The 24,377-nt window shown below is 34.3% G+C and overlaps 1 long non-coding RNA gene across 3 annotated transcripts in view; it reads left to right on the top strand.

Annotated features, from left to right (window-relative positions):
* Positions 1–24,377, top strand: part of LOC105371308 (uncharacterized) — a 512,336-nt gene that overhangs the window by 68,150 nt on the left and 419,809 nt on the right. For all 3 annotated transcript variants that reach the window (XR_001752232.2, XR_007065221.1, XR_007065220.1), the window contains exon 2: positions 18,593–18,672. This is a non-coding gene — a long non-coding RNA (uncharacterized LOC105371308). The remainder of the gene's footprint in view (positions 1–18,592; positions 18,673–24,377) is intronic.

Here is a 24,377-nt window from a genome sequence, read left to right as displayed (position 1 = left end):
TATAAAAGCTCAAAATTTGTTATATCAAATGCTTTAAGACTTTGCTCACTTAATTAATATAAGGTTTTGCTAAGGAAATTTTCTGCATATTTTCAAAATGTCTTTATTCTGTTTTGTGGTACACATAGAAAGCCTTCGCAGATGGACACTGCACAAATAAACTGTATAAATATAACCAGTTTTATTGTTTTATACCTGGATAGATTATTAGACAGAGCCATATTACTAAAGTTCAATTATCAATCTCTAGGACATCAAAATACTAAGATGTTTTCTTTTGGTGGTGTGGCATTTAATAATAAACACTGCACTACCTGTACTGTTACATAGATACTTTGAATGAATGCTTTGCTTTGAAAATTCATGTGTTATCCTCAAGCTGAATTCAATTTAGCTTTTGTTCTGACGGATGGACAAGCTCTTTCACAGTGCTAATCCTTGCTCAGAATTCTCACTAAGGGCTACCATGTCAACTCTTTTTGGTTCCTGTGAAGAATACATGTCCCTATGCTTTGCATTTATTTGACTCTGGAAGGAGTCAAATGAGATTGGAGAATAATTTAATTAATGGTGTTTTTAAGGTAGAAAATAAAGTCACAACTAACGGATACATTTTCCTATGACTGCAGAATTGATAATCACAAAAATAGTATCTGAATACAAAGTCAGCAGGAAAATAGAGCAGTCTAAATATACTTATTGTAGGTGAGAACACTGGGGCAAGTCAAGAAAGACCCCAAACAACATAGGCAACACTGTCTTGATACTGTACCAATTATAAAAGGCTAGAGTTAGCAATGTATGCATGAAAACATAAACTCCCCAAAATTAGAACAGCCACTCAGTCAGTCTTAAAAGAATCACTTATATTATGATAGAAATTATTTCTATTAGCACATTAGGGCTCAATTTCAAGGTATGAGCATTATGATATCATTCCTCCATTCCTAGTACATCCCAATGTATGCTCTGTGATCACTTATTTAATGAGTCTATTTTTTAAAAGAGAAAGATATAGAAATAAAATTGACACTGATTTTTACTCATCCAGTTTGTGCCAACCCCGATGTTCCCATAACTAGCTAGATGACTTTTGGCTTAATGCTGAATGTTTTATCTTGAGCTTATTTCCTTGTCTGTTAAATAAAGTTGTTTTCTACTCAAAACACTAACTTATTAAGAAAAAGTAGTATTTATTCAGTAAAATGAGTTTGGGGAAACTCTGGGTAATGCCCATTTGAAAAATTACAAGAATCATTAATAAATTAAAGGGTTTAAAAATCCTGAAGGTAAAGGCATATGTTGCATATTAGTTAACATTTTTCAAAGCTTATTTGATAAAGACATTCATTTGTATCTGCCTTCTATAATACCTGTTAATGATGCATTAAATGCATTTCCATCAAAGAGGAACAGTTTGCCAGCTCTCTTTCCAGATGATGTATTCTAAGATTTCTGACTCTTCTCCCATATGATTCAGTATGTTACCAGATTCCATTTGGATATTCAATGAGTGAAAGAAATTACTTCCTTCCTAATTGTCACTGGTGAATATTCCTAATAACTTTACAGAGTGGTGGAGGTTTTTGACATCGAGACTCATCCTTTGAAAAAACTCAGACCAAAAAATAAGTAAAGCACCCAAAATGCATCATAGAACTAAATGTAAAATGCAAAACAATGAAACACCTAGAAGACAATGTGGGAGAAGATCCAGATGATATTTGGTTTGTCAATGTGTTTTTAGATACATCACCAAAGGCATTATCCATGGAAAAAATAATTGATAAATTGAACGTTATTACATTTTTTTTTTAAAAGCAAACCGAATGACACTGTCAAAAGAAAAGGAACATGCCACAGAATGGGAGAAAATATTTGCAAAAGATCTATCTTATAAAGAACTATTATCCAAAATGTATGTACAAACTCTTGAAACTAAACAATAAGAAAATAATCTGATTTTAAAATGGGAAAAATATATGAACAAACACCTTGCTATAGAAGATATACAGGTAGCAGAGAAACATGTGAAAAGATGCTTAACATCATACATCTTTAGAGATTTTGAAATTAAAACACCAGTTAGGGGCCGGGCACGATGGCTCAAGCCTGTAATCCCAGCACTTTGGGAGGCTGAGGAGGGCAGATCCTGAGGTCAGGAGATCGAGACCATCTTGGCTAACACGGTGAAACCCCGTCTCTACTAAAAATACAAAAAAAAAAAAAAGCCAGGCGTGGTTGTGGGCGCCTGTAGTCCCAGCTACTGGGAGGCTGAGGCAGGAGAATGGCGTGAACCTGGGAGGCAGAGCTTGCAGTGAGCTGAGATCGCCCTACTGCACTCCAGCCTGGGCGACAGAGCAAGACTCCATCTCAAAAAAATAAAAATAAATTAAAATAAAACAGCAGTTAGATATCACTACACACCTATTAAAATGGCTAAAATCCAAAGCACCGCAAACACCGACTGCTAGTGAAAATGTGGAGCAATAGAAATTCTTATTCATTGCTGTTAAATATGCCATTTTGGAAGACAGTTTGGGAGTTTTATTAATAAAACAAAAGATACTCTTGCTATATGATCCAGCAGTGATGCTCCTTGGTATTTATCCAAAGGAACTGAAATCTTATGTCCACACAATAACTTGTGTATAGATGTTTGTAGCAGCTTTGTTCTTAATCGCCAAAACCTGTAAGAAACAAATATTTCCTTCAATAGACAAATGGATAAGTAAATTGTGGTACATTCCAGACAATGAAATATTATTCGGGACTATAAATAAATGAGCTATTAAGTTGTAAAAAGACATAGAAGAAAATTAAATGCGTATCATTAAGTGAAAAATGCCAATCTAAAAGCCTATCGTACTATATGATTCCAACTCTATGATATTCTGGAAAAGGCAAAACTATGGAGACAGTAAAAATAGTAATGGTTATCAGTAATTTGTAGAGTGGGAGGGATGCATAGGTGGAGCACAGGAGACACTTAGGTCAGCAAAAGTGTTCTGTATGATACTAGGGATGGTGGATGCATGTAACTGTATATTTCTCTAACCCATGGAATGTACAACACAGAGTAAACCATAATATAAACTAAGGACTTCAGGATGATGATGTGGTGATGTTGGGTCATCAGTTCCAACAACTGTACTCTCTGGGGCATGATGTTGATGGTGGGGAGGTTGCACATGTAGGGTGAGGACACATATGGGAACTCTGTTTTCCACTCAACTATTCTGTGAAATTAAAACTTCTCTAAAAAATAATGTTTACATAAATAAATAAATACTTCCATAAAATCCAAATACGGATGACTATTATACAGAGAATAAAATTCATCATGTATTTTTCCATTGTACCACCCTGATAAATAGAGTTCTTTCAGATCTATTAAAAATGTTTGAATACAATAAAATCAAGGATAATTCATTAATGATACAAAAAAAAGTCTCGACTTCTCTTCAACATCATCAAATTGAATCATCTGCCATCCTGATCACTGGGTGGCATTAGGCCTCAGCTTTTTCATTTATAAGATGAGCAGTTTAGACTAAAAATAAACAAGGGTATCTTCAGCTCCCTTATTGTATTTTTTTGTTGTTGTTGCTGTTAATAATCCTCCATTTTGCTAGCCTGACCAATTTTTTTGTACCATTGAAAAGTACATTGAAAGGTAGGTTGATGAAAAAGTAATTGAGGTTTTTGCCAGTAAAAGTAATGACAAAAGCCTCAATTACTTCTGCACCAACCTAACAATAACTTATAAGAAAATATGTAAGAATATCCAAATATAAATAAGAATATAATAATGTAAGTTTCATTGAATGATTTTGGAGTGGAGCTTTACTTTCATCACATGATGATGATTGAAGGGATTAAAATATTACTTAGTCAATTTCAGCAATCAGAGTTAAACCCATCTCTACTTTATATAACTACAGATTAGTTTATGGACCTACACAAATTCTGCAAATTATTTGTTAATAGAATCATTTTAGAGTTGTAAAGCTGAGCATCAGAGTATTTAAGGAACTTAAACGAAATCACAAATCTAGAAAAGGAAGAAATGACAATTCAGTTATTATTTAATGTCAAAATGTGTGAAATTTCAGATACAATATACTATATCCAAACTATATAGCAGTGTATTTTGTATGTCAATATGCCAAATATATCAATACATATCTATCCTAAATAGTCAATCAAAGAGACACAAATACTTTCTGGAATTCATCTTGGGTTTCAAGAAATTATTAAATGTCTTGGAATTCAGAGTCAGGTTAGAACCACAATCAGAAATATATTCTCATTTTGTTTTAGTTTTGTTTTACACATTGTTTAATTAACTTATTAATGAGTAACTAAAATATATTACATAGTGGTCCAAGTACCAGTTCACAACAATTCACTGTCCTTAGCTATTACAAAAAAAAAAAAAAAGAGCCGTTCTCATATTTTTGATGACTGGCTATTGTCAAAGAGATTCAAAATGCCACATGTCAGTTTTGGAAAGAAAACTCAAGGTTACCTTTGAAAAACATTTTCATTGAGAACAACAATAATGATCCCAGTGCTGCCTAACATATAGGATCCTAAACTCATAACTTCTCCTTTTGCTTATTATAGCTCCATAAATTTTGAAACATTAGTAATATCGTATAAATGAGAAAATTGCTCAAAAATATTAAGTAGACTACCTTCATCACAGATTCAAGATGTATTGATCATATTCTTAGGATTTTAGTCTCTCAGCTAACATATCAACCCCAAATTATTGCATGCAAACTGTTCATATTACTGCAACTTAAAGCATCAAAAGTCTTAACATATTTTCTAGCCAAATTATCACTGGAGGCAACACTTGACCTTTCAAATGGTATGTGACTCTTCAAAACATTTTAAACATTTGTTTATACATCTTCTTAAATTTGATCCACATATTTTGTACTACATGTGGTTTCACTTTTTAGGTAAACTATTTGAAATATTACATAAAATAAAACACAGAAGCCTTAGTATACAGCTTGCTAATTTATTACAAAAAGGAAACACAACAGAAACACATGTTACCAAAACCATGAACATAACAGAACTCAAGGAGCCTGCCTGAATCACATGATACAGGGTTTGCTCTTTTGTGTTTAGTCTCTTTCACACAACCTTATATTCATGAGATTTATATTTATAATTGCATATAATATTAGATTCTGCATTCTCATAGCTGTATATATTATATGTATATGTCACCATTTATTTATCTATTTTATATTCTTGATAAACACTTTTAAATTTGGGACTATTATGAATATCGTTGCTATAAATATTTTTGTATATGCCTTTGTGGTACTTAAGTATTTCTCTAGCTTCTAAATGTAAGTCGTGTTGCTAGATCTCATATGTCTGATTTTAAAAGATAATCTCAAACACATTTCTAAAGTCGTTATTCCAAGATGAAAGTTGAAATTGCTCCATATCCTCACATGCTTAGAATTATATTAATTTTAGTCATGCAAGTGGTTTAGTCATGTAAATTTATTGTATTTTTAATTTCAATTTCTCTGTAGATCAGTGACATTGAGAAACTTTTCACCTATTTGTTGAACATGTAGTTATACAATTTTTGTAAAATGGCACTCAAGAACTTACCAATGTCTTCCCTCCCTTCTCCCTCCTTCTTTTTCTTTGTCCTTTTCCAACTGCTTTGCATTTATGTTTTTTATTGGTGAGAGTTTCATATATGTATGAGTATATATATTCTAGATAGGAGACCTTTGCCAAATATATGCTTTGCAAATGTCTTTTCTTACTTGGTGGCTCCCATTCTCATTCCTTAAAGGCATCTTTTGATACAAGCTGAAATTTTTATTTTTAATGTAGTTCACTTTCCTTTTATGGTTAGCACCATAAAATTCACTATGTGTTAGCAGTTTTTGCCCATCCCAAGTAGTGAGTTAATTATTCTATATGTTGCCTTCTAGAATCCTTATTGCTCCACTTTTCACATTTAGATCTATAAACCATCTGGTATTTATTTTGTTTATGACATGTGGTAGGAGTATAAATTTAATAAATTCATTTTGTCTAATACAAATACACAAGTGCATGTTTACTATTTATTGAAAGGACATCCATATTTCTAATGCTCTGAAGTGATACATTTGTTGTGAATCATTTTACTGTACACATGTGGGTGTGCTTCTGATGTGTCTATGCTCTATGTTTAACTTTAGACCATGTTACACTACTGCCTTAATTAGTATGTCTTTATATTGTCTTGATATTTGATAGTTTAAGTTATCCAGCAACGTGCTTTATAAGGATCTTGGTTGTTACTCATTTCATTTGCATATAAAATGTAAAACAACTAGTGGATGCACAACAAACAAAAAAGACAAAACAAAACATAAAAATCCTTGTTGAGAATTACGTCTTTTAAAAATAGATTATTCTAGCCTATTATATATTTATTACTTTATTTTAGTCTTCTTTGTTCTGTCTTTCTCTTTCGCTTTGTAAAGGTATTGCATATCTTAAAAATTACATTTTCCTTGAGTGTTTGATGTTACGTTGATACTATTGCAACAGTTACCCTTTCTTTTTCCATTTCATATTCTGATAGCTTGTTGCTAGTGCATGGAAATGGAATACCTAATTGTGTAAATAATGGAGTTCTTAATTTCTGTCTTTCCCATCTCTGTCTATTTTTATCTGTCAATAGAGATAGATAGAAATAGACATATACATATTTTTTTCATGTTTTATTATATTGGTTAGATTATCTGATAACATTTTTTTTTATAAAGTAGCAGTAATGGAATCCTTTTTCTATTTCCCAGTCTCTGGGAAAATTTTCAATAATTTACCATTAAGTACAATGTTATCTGTAAAGTGTTTGGTGCTTGTAGCATCTCTTTATCAGATTAATTTTCCTCTTATTTCCAGTTCATGTGGAGCTTATTCATAAATGGGTGGTGAATTTCATGAAATGCTTTTTCAAATGGTTTGAACTAAGCACATTTTTGGTATGTGGTAAATTGCATTGACTGAAATTCAAATGGAAACAATCCCTACTGCCATATTGTATATCATCTTGTTTAGATAATACAGTGTTCATTTTTAATGTTTTATCAAGATATATCCAATTATGTGCATATGAGACATTGACTTGGAAATTTTTATTCTTCCAACGACTCTGGTATTTGAATCAATACATATATGCTACACACTGTATAATTTTGTTTAAGACTGGTGCTATTTATATTTTAACTATTTGAGTAACTCATAAGTAATGCCATCTGGATCTGGAATTTTATTAGTAGGAAAAGTCTGACTTAAATATTATATTAGCTTACTAAATATAGTCTCTTCAGATTTTCTGCTTCTTGTGTCAGTTTGGCATTGATGTTTTTCAAATAAAGTATCATATTAGCCATAAAAATTTTTATAGGTTTTAAATGTCTTTAGGATTTTATTGATGTTCCCATTCCTGATGCTGGTAATTTTTGTCTTTTCTTTCTTTCACAACCAATAGCCATCCAATTTTGTTTTCCCAGAGTTTTCCTTTTAGATACATAGTCTCTACTTCATTTGTTCCTGCTCTGATTTTTATTTCATTCCTCTTAATATATCTAGCAGTCATTCTGATTTTTATCGTGACTTTTTTTTGTGATCCATGCGTCCTTCAGAATGTTCTTGCTTAATCTTCAATATTGGGGAATTTTCTAGGTATATTTCTATCACTGATTTTAACTTAATTATATTGTGTTAGGATGTTAAACTACGCATAATTTTAGACTTTTAAAATGTGTTCGGCCTTAGCTTATGGTCTAGCATATAGCCAGTTTTCATAATATTTCTAAATACAGTAGATAAGGATATGCATTTGCAGTTATTCTTTGCAATGTTCTATATATATCAGGTATAGCTGGGAATAATGACTAGCACCTGTAGTCGTAGCTATCAGGAGGCCAAGTGGGGAGAATCACTTAAGCCCAGGTGTTCAAGACTGCAATGAGCCATGATTGTGCCACTGCACTCCAGCCTGGGTGACAGGGTAAGACACCATCTCTAAAACATAAATAAATAAAATACAAAATATATATGTCAGTTATGTAAACTGCATTAATTATTGTGCTACTATTTTATGATCTTAAATTTTTTTTGTCTTTTTAATTCATCAAATATTTATAGAGATATGTTAACTTATTTTTCTAAGAGTATGAATTTTTCTATTTTTCCTTTTAGGTCAGTGAAGGTTTCTTTCCTATATTTTAAATTATGAGCAAATAAATTTTTAGATTATTATATCTGTCTGATAGATTTGTTCTTTTAACATCATGAAATGCCTCTCTGTACATCCTGCAATATGTGTTGCCTTAAAGGATAACTTTTCTAATATTAGCACATTTGTGTAATTTTATGTTAATCTCTGCATTGCATATCTAAATCTAAAAACTTTTTGTTATTATACTTAAATTTTGTTTCTTATAAACAATATGTCATTATGTTGTTTATTTATCTAGAATCTAGACTGCCATTCATTGTCTTTTAACTGGAGAAATTACAAGTATTTGGTATAATTCAGGAGTGTCCAACCTTCTGGCTTCCCTGGGCCACAATGGAAGAACAATTGTCTTGGGCCACACATAAAATACACTAACACTAACAATAGCTAAAAGAAATTACAAAAAAAAGAAACATAATGTTTTAAGAAAATTTATGAATTTCTCTTGGGACACATTCAAAACCATCTTGGGCCGCATGTGGCCTGTGGGCCTCGGGTTGGAAAGGCTTGGATTTATTTATTTATTTGTTTATTTAATTTTTAAAAATTATTATTATTATTTTTGAGACAGAGTCTCACTCTGTCTGCAAGGCTGGAGTGCAGTGGCACAATCTTGGCTCACTGCAACCTCTGCCTCCCAGGCTCAAGCAGTTCTCCTGCCTCAGCCTCCTGAGTAGCTGGGATTACGGGCATGTGCCACCATGCCCAGCTAATTTTTGTATTTTTAGTAGAGATGGGGTTTCACCATTTTGGCCAGGCTGGTCTCGAACTCATGACGTTGTGATTCGCCCGCCTTGGCCTCCCAAAGTGCTGGGATTACAGGCGTGAGCTGCTGCGCCCACCGGAAAAGCTTGGATTTACAACATTTGTGTTCAAAGTACTTCAATTATATGTTTTTATTTGTTCCAAATTTTTTTGTTTTTATTTATTTTCTCTTTTCTGCCCTTCTTTAGATTTACCTATTACTTTTATTTTCTTACACTCCTTAGATTGTTAGTTATATATTATTTTATTATCATTATTGTTACTGTTATTGTCGTGATTGGTGGTAATGATGTTGTTACCTATATCTCATACATATTATATATTATTACTAATTACTACCTTTCAAATTCCCAGAGAGTGCAAAGGTCTTACAGCCCTTGAATTCTTTCATGTGTGTTGTTTCTGAGATAAACATAATTTCTGGAGATAGCGAATATTTTTATTCATATATGACATAGAGGTTCACATCTACCCCTTGCTCTAGAGGCCTAACCCATGGCTTTTGCCCACCATGTAGCTGTCAATACAGTAATATAGCAATTATATTTTTTCTATTCCTCTTTTGATAGGCATTTAGTTTCCAGAGTTTCACTACTAAAGCAATTCTGAAACGAATATCTTTGTGCCTGCCTCATAGTACTCAAGAGGCTTTCTGTCAACATTGGGTTCATAACAAGAGGGAAACCATATTAGTTATTATGGGGTCTTTCTAATCTTTTGACAGCAAGTTAAATTATGATTGGTAACTAGAAATCACTTTGCGTCAGTAAACAGTAATTGGAAGTGACTGTTTTTATTATTGTTGTTTTTGCTTACTTGTTTTCTCTTAATGTTATGATTTGCCACCTTTCACCCTTATTCCTTGTTTACTATTTTAGCTCATTTGTGTTCTCAAATTGCATATTGCATAATCCTTTCCTCCAATGGAAACAGAAAGAGCAGAATGCTTGCCACTAGTTGGCAAAGTTTTGATTCCATTGCAAACCATGCTTTAAAGGTATTTCACAGATGTCATCCATATTATTCTTCAAAGCAGCCCCATAAGAAGAGTGATGCTTATTTTACTTAAAATTTTAGGAAGCAGATTAAGAGACATCCGACATTCTTTCAAATTACCAGTTTCACTTGAAAGCTCACTCATTTTCCACACCACTTGCTGAAGAAGCCCACTCAAGGGAGACTCCCTCTGCTCTGCATCTGTTCAACATCTTTAGGCCAGAGAGAAATTTTAGGGGCAATAAAACATGCCCTTTTACCCCACATAAAAAAAAAAAAAAAAAGTAAGACTGCTTTGGCACAGTGTGGATCATTGTTTAATAATGAATGTCTGTAAAACATCCTCACCCTTATCTGTGCGTTTTTCCCCTAGGACCTCTGTAGACCATGAATCTAGTGGGGGTAGACCCATGGGCAGATCTGGTTATACAGCCTCACTTTATAAATGAGGCTGTCAAATTCCAATCATTTGACTGGCTTTGTGGCCGGACAACCTGTGAAGAAATATATTTCTTTTTCTTTTTTTTTGGATACTGTTCAAGTTATCTCATCTCACAATAAAACTATCCATAAATAATGGCAATACTTTATTTTCACAATAACTTAGACTTTTTTTCTGTCTGTGAAATCAGCATATACCTATTGTGGCAATAGAATAAAAATACACAAAAATATGAAGACAAATGCATTTAGTATTAAAAGTAAAACAAAATATTTACATTTTTGCTTTTATTTTCATCCCTCATTTATATTATGTACTTTTTGTTTTCTGAGACAGGGTCTTTTCTTTTGGAGTGCAGTGGTACAATCACAGACTCATGATAACCTCTGCTTCCTGGGGCTGAAGTGATCCTCCTGCCTCAGCCTCCCAAGTAGCTGGAGCTACAGGGGCACACCACCACTCCTGACTAATCTTTAAAATTTTTTTTTAGAGATGAGGACTCACTGTATTGTTCAGGCTAGTCTCAAGCTCCTGGGCTCAAGCAGTCCTCCTGCCTTGGCCTCCCAAACTGCTGGGATTACAGGTGTGAACCACTGCACCTCGCCTGCCTACTTTATTTGTAGTTTGAGTATTTACTCAGTTGAAATCCTCTTGCATTATTATTATATTTTGCTTCCTTTTCTTGATGTGAGAAGCTTTTCCCCATGTTCACAAATTCTAAATTTTTTATAAAGTTCAATTTAAAGGCACTATAATATCCTCTAACATAGATATATGCTACTTAGGTTATTTATTGCCTAGTTATCATGCATTTAATGATTTCCACTTTTTTTCAGTTCTAAAGAATGTGGAAATAAATATCTTATCATATAAATATTTCTCCTGGTTTTACAGCATTATTATATATTTATATTTAGGGATGTAGAATTTCTGGGCCAAAGGGAAAATTATATTTATGCTATATGCATTTTCTAAAAATGCGCATTCTGTAAAATTATGCATATAATTTTTAGTTTGGTGGCTAAAACATAGGCTGTGTCATGATGGGGAAGGGATCAAGGATCAACAGTCAGACAGAACACAAGATTATCTGAGGCAGGGGTAAATGAAGTGTGACACTGGCCCTTCTTATAACCTTGAAATCCCCAAACATAGGCAGTTTTGTGCTCTGTCTTGTGAAGGAGACAAGGTTCTCATGACGGAGCTATCTACATACATATTAAGAATATCATCTTTATTCTTTGATTTTCTCCCTACCCTGTCCTAACAACTTGTATCAGGCAGCACCACTGTCCTGCACTCTTATTCTTAGCTCAGACCTCCCTTTCTCCTTCCAAATATGCATGCTGAGCCTCACTATGTTTGTGGACAATCAACAATTACCTTCTCTCCCTTTAGGGTAATTTCTTTGCTTTGAAATTGCAGGAAAACCTTCATTTAATGTTTGCATTTGGTTGAAAAGCCTGAGAAGCCTCAGCAAGGACAAGCAAATGAATGTAAAATAGAGGAGGAGAGATGGAACAGAATAAGAAATAAGATTCAGTAGCATTGTTTTCTTTTTCTTTTTGAAAATCAGAGAAACACAGACACACCACCCATACGTGTGGGTCACAAAATCAGAAATTCAAAGATGATGATTTTGAATATCAATGTAAAAGTTAGTCAGACAAACTCAGACAGAATGCAGATGTTTCTCATTTATATGGGTGACTTCTCTGACTTAGATAAACACATGAAATGCTGAATGCCTCAGTGGCAGCCCTGTGTGTTCAGTTCTCTGTCTATAGATACAATTTAGGATGAGAAAGAAAAAATGAGAGAGACCATTTGTTATCATAATTTGCTAATGTTTCACAAAAGATGACCATTTAGTTTTTAATTAAATCTTATAGGACTTACTACCCTCATTTTTTAGGCAAGGAAATTGAGCCAGGTCAAATTAAGTAAATTGCCCAAAATTCTCACTGTTTTTCCAAGTAATTTTAAAGAGTGACATCCAGAAAATCTGTGACTTCTAGGAATACATTTAGAAAAACATATACCAGAGGGTTTAATTGCAGCATTGTTTTTAACAGCAAAAATTGGAACTAAATACACATCAATTGGATACAGATAAATAAAGTATGAGATATTCATGGACCAGAATCCTGTGCTGTAATTGAAGTGAATGAACTGGCAATGTGTGCACCAGTATCCCCAAATTATAATATTTACTAAAAAAAGCAAAATGCTGAATGATTCATGCTGTATGATAACATTATATAAAGTCTGAGAACATGAAAAGCAACTGCAAACATAGATTATAGCTGCATAAATAAATAATAATAGTATAATAAACATTTGTAGGAATGGAATAGAGAAAAACATTAGGAGATTGATTACATTTGAGTAGGGAGATGGGAATAGAATCAGGGAGAATTTACAAAGGAAATCACAATTCCATTTTAATAACCATGAAGCCAATGGCAAAATCTTACCATTTTATTTAGTCAGGCTGTGGCACTCAGATGTTTATTATATTATTACTTTAAAATAATTTTACTGGATAAATTATTGAAAAGTAAAGGATTGAATGCAAATAGTATTTCTCAAATAGGAAGACAAACACCCTGCCTCCCAATTCCCTTTGTTCCATGTGAAAATCCACATGTGTTTATTCTACTTCAAATCAAATAAATCTGCATCTGTGGAGAATATATGCAGAAAAAATACTCTTGTATACAGGCACACACCACACACAAACAAAACACCACCCTGAGATATGTTGTGTGTTATTGCATAAAACATTTTGAAAACCATAGATCTGAAAGAACAGTCATTGAATTATTTGGAGCCAAACAAAGAATAAATATTACCCTAAGGACCTCTTGGATTATCTATTCAACTTAACTCTTAAAGAGAAAAATGTAAAAAGAGAACAATTAAAAATCTATTGCCACAGTATAATTTTTAGCCTTGCTCTGTCTACATGCTTAATCTCTGTCCTTGTTCCTCTATAAAAAGAGAGGAATGGAGTAATCTATTTCAATGGCATTTGTTTTTAATGAAATTATCAGTAAACCTGAATCATCTATGGCTTCCTAACATTGAAAAGTGATTATATCATTTCATTTGCTGTATCAAGTATTAATTAAAGGTTTAGCACAAACTATGCACTATATTAAAGCTCAATTCAACACTTACTAGAGACCTGCCTTGGTACCTAGATGTGGGACTGTGTGTAGTTCTCTATCTCAGCATGAAAGAAAGAGCAGGGATAAGATCCATATATTATGTGAGACATAATCCCAACAAATCATTGCAATCACTTTGAAGAATAAATATATGTCTCTCTTTTTTTACAGTTGAGGAACCTAAAGCTTAGTTATATTAAATAGCTGTTCACGGGTATGAAACAATAATATGAAAAAGCCAGGATTTGAATTATGTCCTACAAAGTCTAAACTCAGGCCCCTTACGTTGTAGTTAGTGTTGTTAGGAGCAATGATAATTGTTCTTAACCTGATATTGTCAGATTCAGCCTTCTGGTACTTGCTGGAGCCCTAGTTTATCACAATTGATTTGTAGTGCTTCTTGAAAATATTTCTGATTCTTCCATTGTGTGACATTCTAAATTTCCCCTGACTACACCTTCCACCCCTCCTGTTAGAGTACCATGTTGGAATTACCTTCTGTAGCAACCTTAGCTGTGATATCCCCTATCATTTTGAAATGAACACCTTGTCTCAGAAATCTCCACTTATTCCAAGATTCTTAGACTCCGGGCATGCACTGATACTAAAAACAATTTTAGTGATCACCCCAAGATGTTCATTCAAAGTAAATAAAATAGTACTCTTACCCTTGAATGTCTTAGTCTCATAAGAGAGAATAGCATATAATTACCAACATAGGCAGTGCACGATGTGAGGCACAGGATAGGAATTCCTGTCATTTACCAGTTTAGAAACATGCTCATGTAGATAACATGATATTCTTTCCTAGAGGGCCCTGAGTTGTCACTATAAAACATTGTTTAAATGCTGTCAAAATCAACTTTTTTAGGAAAAGTCAAAGACCCCTATGGATCTGAATATATAAGACGATTATGATGTTGAGAAATAATATAGTGGAAAAAAAGCCATAGATCATTCTACTTTCCACTGTGGGTTATTTCTCAGTTCCTTCTTGGTAACTTGGTTTTCCTTTTTTTCCTTTCTGCTAATGTCAGAATCTCAGACTGTCCTGGTAGCTGCCTCTTTCTGTTCTAGTCTTTGCTAACTCCCTAACTACCACCCTGGATATATAGAGTCTTTGTAGTTTTCCAAAAGGAGAAGAAAAGAACATGTAAAGATTTTTTTTTCTTTTTTTTCTTTTTTTTTTTTGCACCACATAAAACATCTAAAACCTCCGAATCTGTCATCCAAATTGTAAACCTGGTGAAATTCTATCTGCTTTTTAACTCTCTTACCAAACAAAGGCATACCTCATTTTATTGTTTTTCACTTTATTGTGTTTCAAAGATATTGCATTATTTTACAAATTGAAGGTTTATGGCAGCCCTGCATCAAGCAAGTCTATTAGCACCAATTTTCCAACAGCCTGTCATCACTTTGTGTCTTTGAGTAAAATTCTTATAATTCTTTTAATATTTCAAACTTTTTCATTATCATTATACATTTATGGTGATCTGTGATCAGTGATTTTTCATGTCAATATTGTAATCGTTTGGTGGGGCATCACAAACTGTGCCCATGTAGGAAAGTGAACTTTGTCAATAATATCGTGTGTGTTCTGACTGCTCCACCAATCAGCAGTTCCTCCATTTCTCTGTCATACCTTAGACCTCCCTAATTCCTGAAACACAACAGTATTGAAATTAGGCCAATTAATGACTCTACAATGGCCTCCACGTGTTCAAAGTGAAAAGAAGAGTCACGTGTCTCATTCTTAATCAAAAGCTAGAAACAATTAAGCTTAGTAAGGAAGGTATTTCAAAAACCCATACAGGACAAAAACTAGACCTTCTGGTCCAATCAGTTGTCCAAGGTGTGAATGCAAAGGAAAAATTCTTGAAGGAAACTGAAAGTGCTACTCCAGTGAACATACAAGTTAAAGAAAGCAAAATAACCTTATTGCTGATGCGGAGAAAGTTTGAGTGGTCCGGATAAAAGATCAAACCAGCCAAAGCATTCCTTAAAACAAAACAATCTAATCCAGAGCAAGGCCCTGGCTCTCTTCAATTCTATAAAGACTAAGAGGTCAGGAAGCTGCAGAAGAAATTTTTGAAGCTAGCAGAGGTTGATTCACGAAGTTTAAAGAAAGAAGCTATAGACACAACATAAAAGTGCAGGGTGAAGCAGCAAATCTTGATATAGAAGCAACAGCAAGTTATCCAGAAGATCTAGCTAAGATTATGTTGATGAAACAGTCTTCTATTGAGAAAAAGATACCAACTAGGACTTTTATAACTAGAGAGGAGAGGTCAATGCCTGTCTTCAAAGGACTGACTGACTCTCTTGTTAGGGTCTAATGCAGCTGGGGATTTTAAGTCAATGCCAGTGTTCATTTACCATGTCAAAAATCCTAAGGCCCCTAGTAATTATACTAATTCCACTCTGCCTGTGCTCTATCAATGGAATAACAAATCCTGGAGGACAGGATATCTGTTTACCACATGGTTTCCTGAATATTTTATGCCTACTGTTGAGAGCTACTGCTAAAAAAAAAATTCTTTCAAAATATTACTGTTAATTGATAATGTACCAAGAGCTCTGATGGAGATACAGAGGGAGATTTATTTTGTTTTTATGTCTGATAACACAGAATCTATTCTGCAATCCATGTATCAGAAACAATTTTGACTTTAAAGTCTCATTATTTAAGAAAGACATTTTGTAAAGCCATAGCTGCCATAGGTAGTAATTTTCTTGATGGATCTAAGCAAAATACAATGAAAACTTTCCGGAAATAGTTTACTATTCTAGATGCCATTAAGAATATTCATTATTCATGGAAGGAGGTCAAAATATCAGCATTAAGAGGACTTTGGAAGAAGGTGATTCCAACCTTCATGCATGACTTTGAGGGGTTTAAGTCTTCAGCTGGAAGAAGTAACTGTAGATGTACTGGAAATAAACAGAATACTAGCATTAGAAATGGAGCCTGAAGATATGACTGAATTGGTGCTATTTCATGGTAAAACTTTAATAGATGAGGTGTTGCTTCTCATGAATGAGCAAAGAAATTGTCTAAGATGGAAACTACTCCTGGTGAAGTTGCTGTGAATATTGCTGAAATGAAAGCAAAGGATTTAGAAGGTTATATAGTGTTAGTTGACAAAGAGTGGCATAGTCTGAGAGGAATGACACCAATTTTGGAAGATGTTCTACTGTGAGTAAAATGCTATCAAACAGCATCACATGCTACAGGGAAAATTTTTGTGACAAGAAAGAATCAACTGATGTGGCAAACTTTATTGTTGTCTTATTTTAAGAAATTGCCACAACCATCTCCAGCTTTAGCAATGACCATCCTGATCAGACAGTGGCCATCCACAGTGAGGCAAGACCCTCTACCAGCAAAATGAATGCAACATGCTAAAGGCTCAGGTGATTGTTAGAACTTTTGTAGAAATAAAGTATTTTTTAACTAAGGTGTGTACACTTTTTTACACAAACTGCTATTGCACACTTAGTAGACTATATGTAGATTTAATAGACTTATGATATTTATAAACACCAAAAAAGAAAAAAATCTGTGTGACTTGCTTTACTACAATATATGCTTTATTGTGGTGATCTGGAACTGAGCCTGCAATACCTCTGAGGTATGTCTATGTTGACTATCTGTGATGCCTTTTGTCATCACTATTAACCATGACTATTACACTTTGCTATAATAATTGTGTTATTAAACAAAAATTGTTTCAATGCCTGCCTTCCCTTTGTACTATAAGCATTTTGAAAACTGAGGTTATAACTTATTTATCGTAATAATTCCAGGACAAACAGAATACACAAAGTAGGTGGGAATTGAACAATGAGAACACATGGACACAGGAAGGGGAACATCACACACCGAGGCCTGTTATGGGGTGGGGGGAGGGGTGAGGGATAGCATAGGAGATATACCTAATGTTAAAGGACGAGTTGATGGGTGCAGCACACCAACATGGCACATGTATACATATGTAACTAACCTGCACATTGTGCACATGTACCCTAAAACTTAAAGTATAATAAAAAAAAAAGTAGATGCTAAGTTTATATTTGTTGCAGACGAGTGTCAAAGCAAACACTAAGTTTTCCACTTTTAAAATCCCTTAAAGAAAATACCACATTTAACTTACGCTCTATAGATAGTTAGTGCCTATAACCTCAAGGAGACAATTTTCAAACAATAAAATTATCATATACAGATAAGTTAAAATGGTTTTGCAATCTAACAAGGGTTTTGTAAATCTATACCCTAAAGTAAAATGAAAACTTTCTCTAGCTTCTGACTTCTGAATTTAGTTATTAGGATGAGTCTCATGATTCTTCCAGATCAATGTTTGAAATGGATCTCATTATTCTCCCACTGACTCTACTACTCCTTCTGTAATTCTAACCAAGTCCATTTTCAGTTCTTGGCTGGCTGAGGTAAAGAATGGAGAATAATTGGTGACCACTTATTTTAAATGGACAGTTTGCATCTGGGGACATTTTGTGATGACAGTCCTTTTACTAGGACTCAGTACCTCACAGCACAAGCACATGTAAAAATAATCACATCAATTCATAATAACAACTAAATGGATGTCTTAACACTTTTTCAAATTATTCAGTAAGACAAAGACATGAGAAATCACAATACACATAATATCACAATCTTAATAAACCTCTCTCATTGTGCCAATCATTGTGTCAAGCACTGCATACATCATCTCTGATGCTTACAAAGCCTTTTGCTATGGACATTATTACCCTTGTTTTACAAATTTTAAAAAACCTAGGGTTCAGCATCAGCTGGAGTGATATCCTAAGTCTGAATGACAAGATGTGGCAGAACAATGAAAGCCATTTTGTTTTATTGCAGAAGGGAGGTTCAGTATTTTTTTAAATTTATTTTTTTCCTTTTAGGTCAATGCACAGAAAGAAATCTCTCTCCTGACTTTAGTACAATGGCACGATTGGTGGCCACAGTCCAAGGATGGTTGCTGGTGAGTAGTTACAGATACCCCGAGACACAGCAGGAGTGAGTAATTGGGTTTATGATGGGCAGCGACTCTGGTGTTCACTGCAAGCTAGCACTGGTGTTTTCTGGATGACCTTTGTTAGCTGTGCGAAGAGGTTTCCTTTTTTAATGCTGCTGCTAGATGTCATTAGTAGCAATGGCTGTGAATTTTGTCTTGTCACTTGCACTAACCCCAGAAGAGAATTTTCTAAGGGACCTATATCAGAGAAGGTCACTAGCTCTTTCTGTCATCAAACTACTGGCTTGTGATTAGAAAAGGCAGGTGGGACGTCAATGGAATGGTAAACTGTAGATTTGGGAGAACACAGGAGAGTAAATTAGAATTAGGCTTCAAGACCAGGAAATCAAGACTACTATTGATCAGAAGGACAAATAAGTGGGGGCCAGGAGTAGGGAAGAGGGAGTGTTATTTTGTTCTCCTTTTCCATCAGAAAGACAAATTAAATTTTACAGTGTTGCACCAAATACATTTAGGTATTGATTTTGAAATCTATGCTTGACATTTAAGATAACAGAAAAGATACAAGAAAAGGGATGGGGATGTCGCCCAGGCATATGGTAAGATGATGGTCTTTTATCAATAGTGATTTTAAAGATCTTCATAAAAGTGGGGCACAATGTGGATATTAAAACAATTTCTGCTTTTGGTCTTATGTGCATTATCTCAAATATTCTTCTCAAAAATCACATTGGATCTCACAAGGCGTTAGTTCTTCATTGAGGCTGTGAGATTGTGGCTCACTGAAAGGGAAAAATTTCGGCCCTAGAATTGAGGCTGTCAGAGCTCCCTCTACTGCCTCTCCTTAATTCTAAAACCACATAGCTGTGTTCTGGTGAAAGCTAACAAACTGATCCAGAGGTGAAGTGATTATGGGATTTTCCTGATGCCATTAAAGTAAGAAAATATGTGGAAAGAAGTGCTTCCATGAAAAGTGTCTTTTCATGGAGCACATATTAAACTGATTAGAGAAGGGGAGGGTGGAAGAAGTGCTAATGCCTCATAGGCTTAAGGATTTTCATTGTTAAAATTGTGCTTCATGTTTAAAAAGAAGTCACTACTAAATATATGTGCCTTTAAAAATCTTACCAATTTAAGCAACTGTATTGCTGGCATTTTAATCTCTTTGAAGGACTTCTAAAGATGACAGACTTTCATATGTTTCTAACATTTGAGAAACTCATGAACAAAATTTCCAAAATGCTACCCTTTTATAGCACACTAGAGGATACATACATCTGTCATTCATTTTTATCTATTTGATGATGGGGCTATGTTCTGAGAAATGCATCGTTAGACAATTTCATTATTGTGTGACTGTCACAAGGTGTACTTACACAACCTAGGTCACTTAGGCTATGTGGTATAGCCTATTGTTCCTAGGCTATAAATCTATAACATACATGTTACTGTATTGAATATGGTAGACAATTGTAACACAATGGTAAGTATTTATGTGTCTAAACATATCTAAAAATAGAAAAGATACAGCAAAATTATGGTGGTATAATCTTATGGGACCGCCATCATGTATGTGGTTTCTTGTTAACCAATACATCCTTATGGGCCTGGCGCGGTGGCTCATGGCTGTAATCCCAACACTTTGGGAGGCTGAAGCGGGCAGATCACTTGAGGTCAGGAGTTCGAGACCAGTCTGGCCAATATGATGAAACCCTGTCTCTACTAAAAATACACAAATTAGCCAGGAGTGGCAGGAGGCACCTGTAATCCCAGCTATTCGGGAGGCTGGGGCAGGAGAATCACTTGAACCCAGGAGGTGGAGGTTGCAGTGAGCCGAGATCACGCCATTGCACTCCAGCCTGGGAATCACAGAGAGACTCCTCAAAAAACAAAAAAACAAAACAAACAAAATCCTTATGTAGCACTTAATTATATAGCGTTATGGTGAGCCCTACTATATGACAAGCTTCTTAAGACTGGATTCAAATATTATCTCTCTGGTAAGTTTGTCTTCATAGCTTCCTTGTCTTTCCAGCAAAATTTATTTTCAAACAATGTTCCCACTGCCCACATTTTAAAACCTTAAATAGTATGTAACTAAATTTATTCCACTTCCACTGACTGCAGTCTTTTAAAGGGTGTTTCGGAAAGTAAGACCAGTGTTCATAGGATCCAAGCCAGGAAACCCTGTATAGGAAGGACCTGGACATGATCAGGAACTGTTCAGTTTGCCTGAAGCACCAAAAGAGAGGCGATGAGGAATGAGATGCTACTGAAGAAGTGTACAGGCCATGATTGGTACTGGGCCACAAAGTCTATGCTAATCTTTGATTAAAAAGCAGTGTAAAGCAAAGGAAAGGTTTTAAGTATAGACATGCTGAAATGGGAAATGATGGGACTGGTGTTTTTAAGATTCGTTAGCCATGGTCACAAGAAGGGGGTGCAGAAAAAAGTAGTTGAAAGCTCTAAATAATGTTTCTTGGCCAGGCAGAGTGCCTTACTCTCCTAATCTCAGGGATTTGGGAGGCTGAGGTGAGAAGATCGGTTGAGCCTACAAGTTGAAAAACAGCTCGAAAAACATGGCAATACCCGTCTCTACAAGAAAATTAAAAATTAAAAAAAACTAGGCAGGAATGGTGGTGTGTGCCTGTAGTCCCAGTGACTTCAGAGGCTGAGGAGGGAGGATTGCTTGAAACTAGGAGTTCTAGACTGCCGTGAGCTAGGATTCTGCCACTGCACTCTAGCGTAGGTGATAGAGCAAGACCTGCCCCCAAAATAAATACATACATAAATTAATTAAATAAAATAAATAATATTTCCTATCTTCAAGACACTTTCAGTATGATATGTTGGAGGTGACCTGTAATGCATGTTAAATAAAGGATTTTATTTATTTTATTTATTTATTTTTTGAGATGGAGTCTTGCCCTATCGCCAGGCTAGAGTGCAGTGGCGCAATCTCGGCTCACCGCAACCTCCGCCTCCCGGGTTCAAGCAATTCCCCAGCCTCAGCCTCCCGAGTAGCTGGGACTACAGGCACGTGCCACCACACCTGGCTAGTTTTTTTGTATTTTAGTAGAGACTGGGTTTCACCATGTTGGCCAGGATGGTCTCAATTTCCTGACCTCGTGATCCACCTGGCTTGAACTCTCATTTACTGGCACCCTGCCCAGTAAATAAAGTATTATGTAATGTAAATTTTAATTACGCTTTTAACTTTGAAGTAGTTGTAGATTGGTGTGCTGTTTTAAGAAATAATACAGAAAGATCTCACATATGGTTCACACAGTTTCCCCCAATAAAAATCTCTTATAAAACTAATACAATAATATCACAACCAATATATGCTATTTGTACACTCAACATACTGAGCATTTCCATCACTGCAAAGATCCCCTATATTTCCTTTTTAAAACGAAACTCCTTCCCTCCTGCCCAATATCCTCTTTAAGCCCTAATTAGGTCTCTTCTTCATCTCTGTAAATTTGTCATTGCCATAATGTTACATGAACGAGATAATACAGTATATAGCCTTTTGGAATTAACTCTTCTTCACTGAGCATAATACTCTGGAGATCCATCTAGATTATTGCATATATCAATAGTATGATCTTTTAAAAATTGCTGACTAGCATTTAATGGTATGGATGTATAATAGTTAATGTCAGCTTTCATCCATTGAAAGATATCTGGGCTGTTTCCAATTTGTGACTGTTACGAATAAAGCTGCAATAAACATCCATGAAAAAGTTTCACGCTAACACAAGCTTTCCTTTATTTGGGGTAAAGGGTGAAGAGTACAATTGTTTGGTCTTGTGGTAGTTGCATTTTAAATTATTTAAAAAACATATTTTCCAGTGTTTCCATGTCATTTTAAGTTCCCATATGGAAAATATGAATGAATCAGTTTCTCAGTACCCTCATCAGCATTTGTTGTTTGTCTATCTGTCTATCTATCTATCAATCATCTATTTATCATCTATCTTCTATCATCTATCTATCTTCTATCATCTATCTATCATCTACTATCATCTATCTATCTTCTATCTATCTATCTATCTATCTTTCTATCTATCTTATCACCATTTTAATAGATGTTTGATGATGGCTCATGTGATTTTCATCTGCATTTCCCTAACGGGTAATAATATTGAACTTTTTTTTAATGCGATTATTCATCTTTGGTGAAATGCGCTTTATATCCTTTGACTATTTTCTAACTGGATTTTTTAAAATGTTGAGTTTTGAGAGGTCTTTAGATAGCCTAGAGACTAGTTCTTTAATGGAGGTATAGTTTATACATTTTTCTTCCAGTCTGTAGCTTTTCTTTTCATCCTATTGCCAGAGTCCTCACAGAGTAAAGTGTACTGATTTTGTTGAAGTAGAGTTTATCAATTTTTCATGGTACGGATTGTGATTTTGGTATCTAGTCAACGAACCCCAACCTTACCTCTTCCATAGCCCTTGATCCCAAAGATTTTCTTCTGTTTTTTTTTTTTAATAATTTGTATTTTTTTTAAATTAACTCTAGAATCTATTTTTATTTAATTTTTATATAAGATGTAAAACTTAGATTGAGGTTCATTATTGCCTGTGGAGTTTCAATTGCTCCTGCACCATTGATTTAAAAGTTATCTCTACTGCATTTAATTGTTTTTTACATTTTTGTCAAAAATCATATGTACATATTCATGTGGTGTTAGTTCTTGGCCCTCTATTCTGTTCCCTTCAACTACATGTCTTTTCCTCCAATAATACTACAGAGTCTTGATTACTGTAGCGATTTAATAAGTGTTGAAATGAGGTAGACTTTTTCTTTCTCATTTTACTCTTATTTTTCAAAATTGTTTTAGCTATTCTTGATTAGTTTCCTTTTCCTATATATTTTAGAATAATCTTGCCTATATTTCTAAAAGTTCTTGTTGAGATTTTGATAGCAAATGAATAAAACTTTTATATCAATTTGTGGATAATTGATATACTACAAAGTTGAATCTTCCAGTCTATGAACCTGAATTTCTTCATTTATTTACATCTTTAATTTCTTTGATCAGCATCTTGTAGTTTTCAGCATATTACTCCTGCATGAGTTTTTCAGATTTATATGTAAGTATTTTATTTTATTATTTATTCAATTTTGGTATCCACATATTTATTGCTAAATAATAGGAATAGATTTGATTTATGTAAGTTTATCTTATGTCATGCAACCTTATTGAAATCATTATTGAATACATTTTCTTGGTAGGTTTCCTGGAATTCCCTATATAGACACTAATGTTATCTGCATATTGAGGCATTTTATTTGTAATTTGCATGCCTTTTATTTTTTTTTGCCAGCCTTATTGCACTGTGTTGTAAAAGAGTGATGAACACAGATAATCTTTCATTGTTCTCAACCTTAGTAGGAATGCATTCAGTCTTCTATCATTAAGTAAATGTAAGCTGTAAGTTCCATAAATGCTCTTTATCAAGTTCAAATGTCTTCTTAATCATTGGCTTAGTCATTTTATGATGTCACTTTAAAATCTTTGGAAGATAATTCTAATACCTCTGTCATCTCAGTGCTGACATCTTTTGGTTGTGTTTTCTGTTCAATTCGTGATGTCTCTGGCTTTTTGTATTAGATGTAACATCATGGGATGTGCCTGTGGCCTTATTACTACTTGGCGTTGGTGAAAGTCCTTTACTAGGCTTCCTCTGACACCACC

This window comes from Homo sapiens, chromosome 16, assembly GCF_000001405.40.
Source record: "Homo sapiens chromosome 16, GRCh38.p14 Primary Assembly".
Classification (NCBI taxonomy): domain Eukaryota; kingdom Metazoa; phylum Chordata; class Mammalia; order Primates; family Hominidae; genus Homo; species Homo sapiens.
The sequence above is the reverse complement of the archived record's forward strand: the minus strand, read 5'-3'. Positions and strand labels throughout refer to the sequence as shown.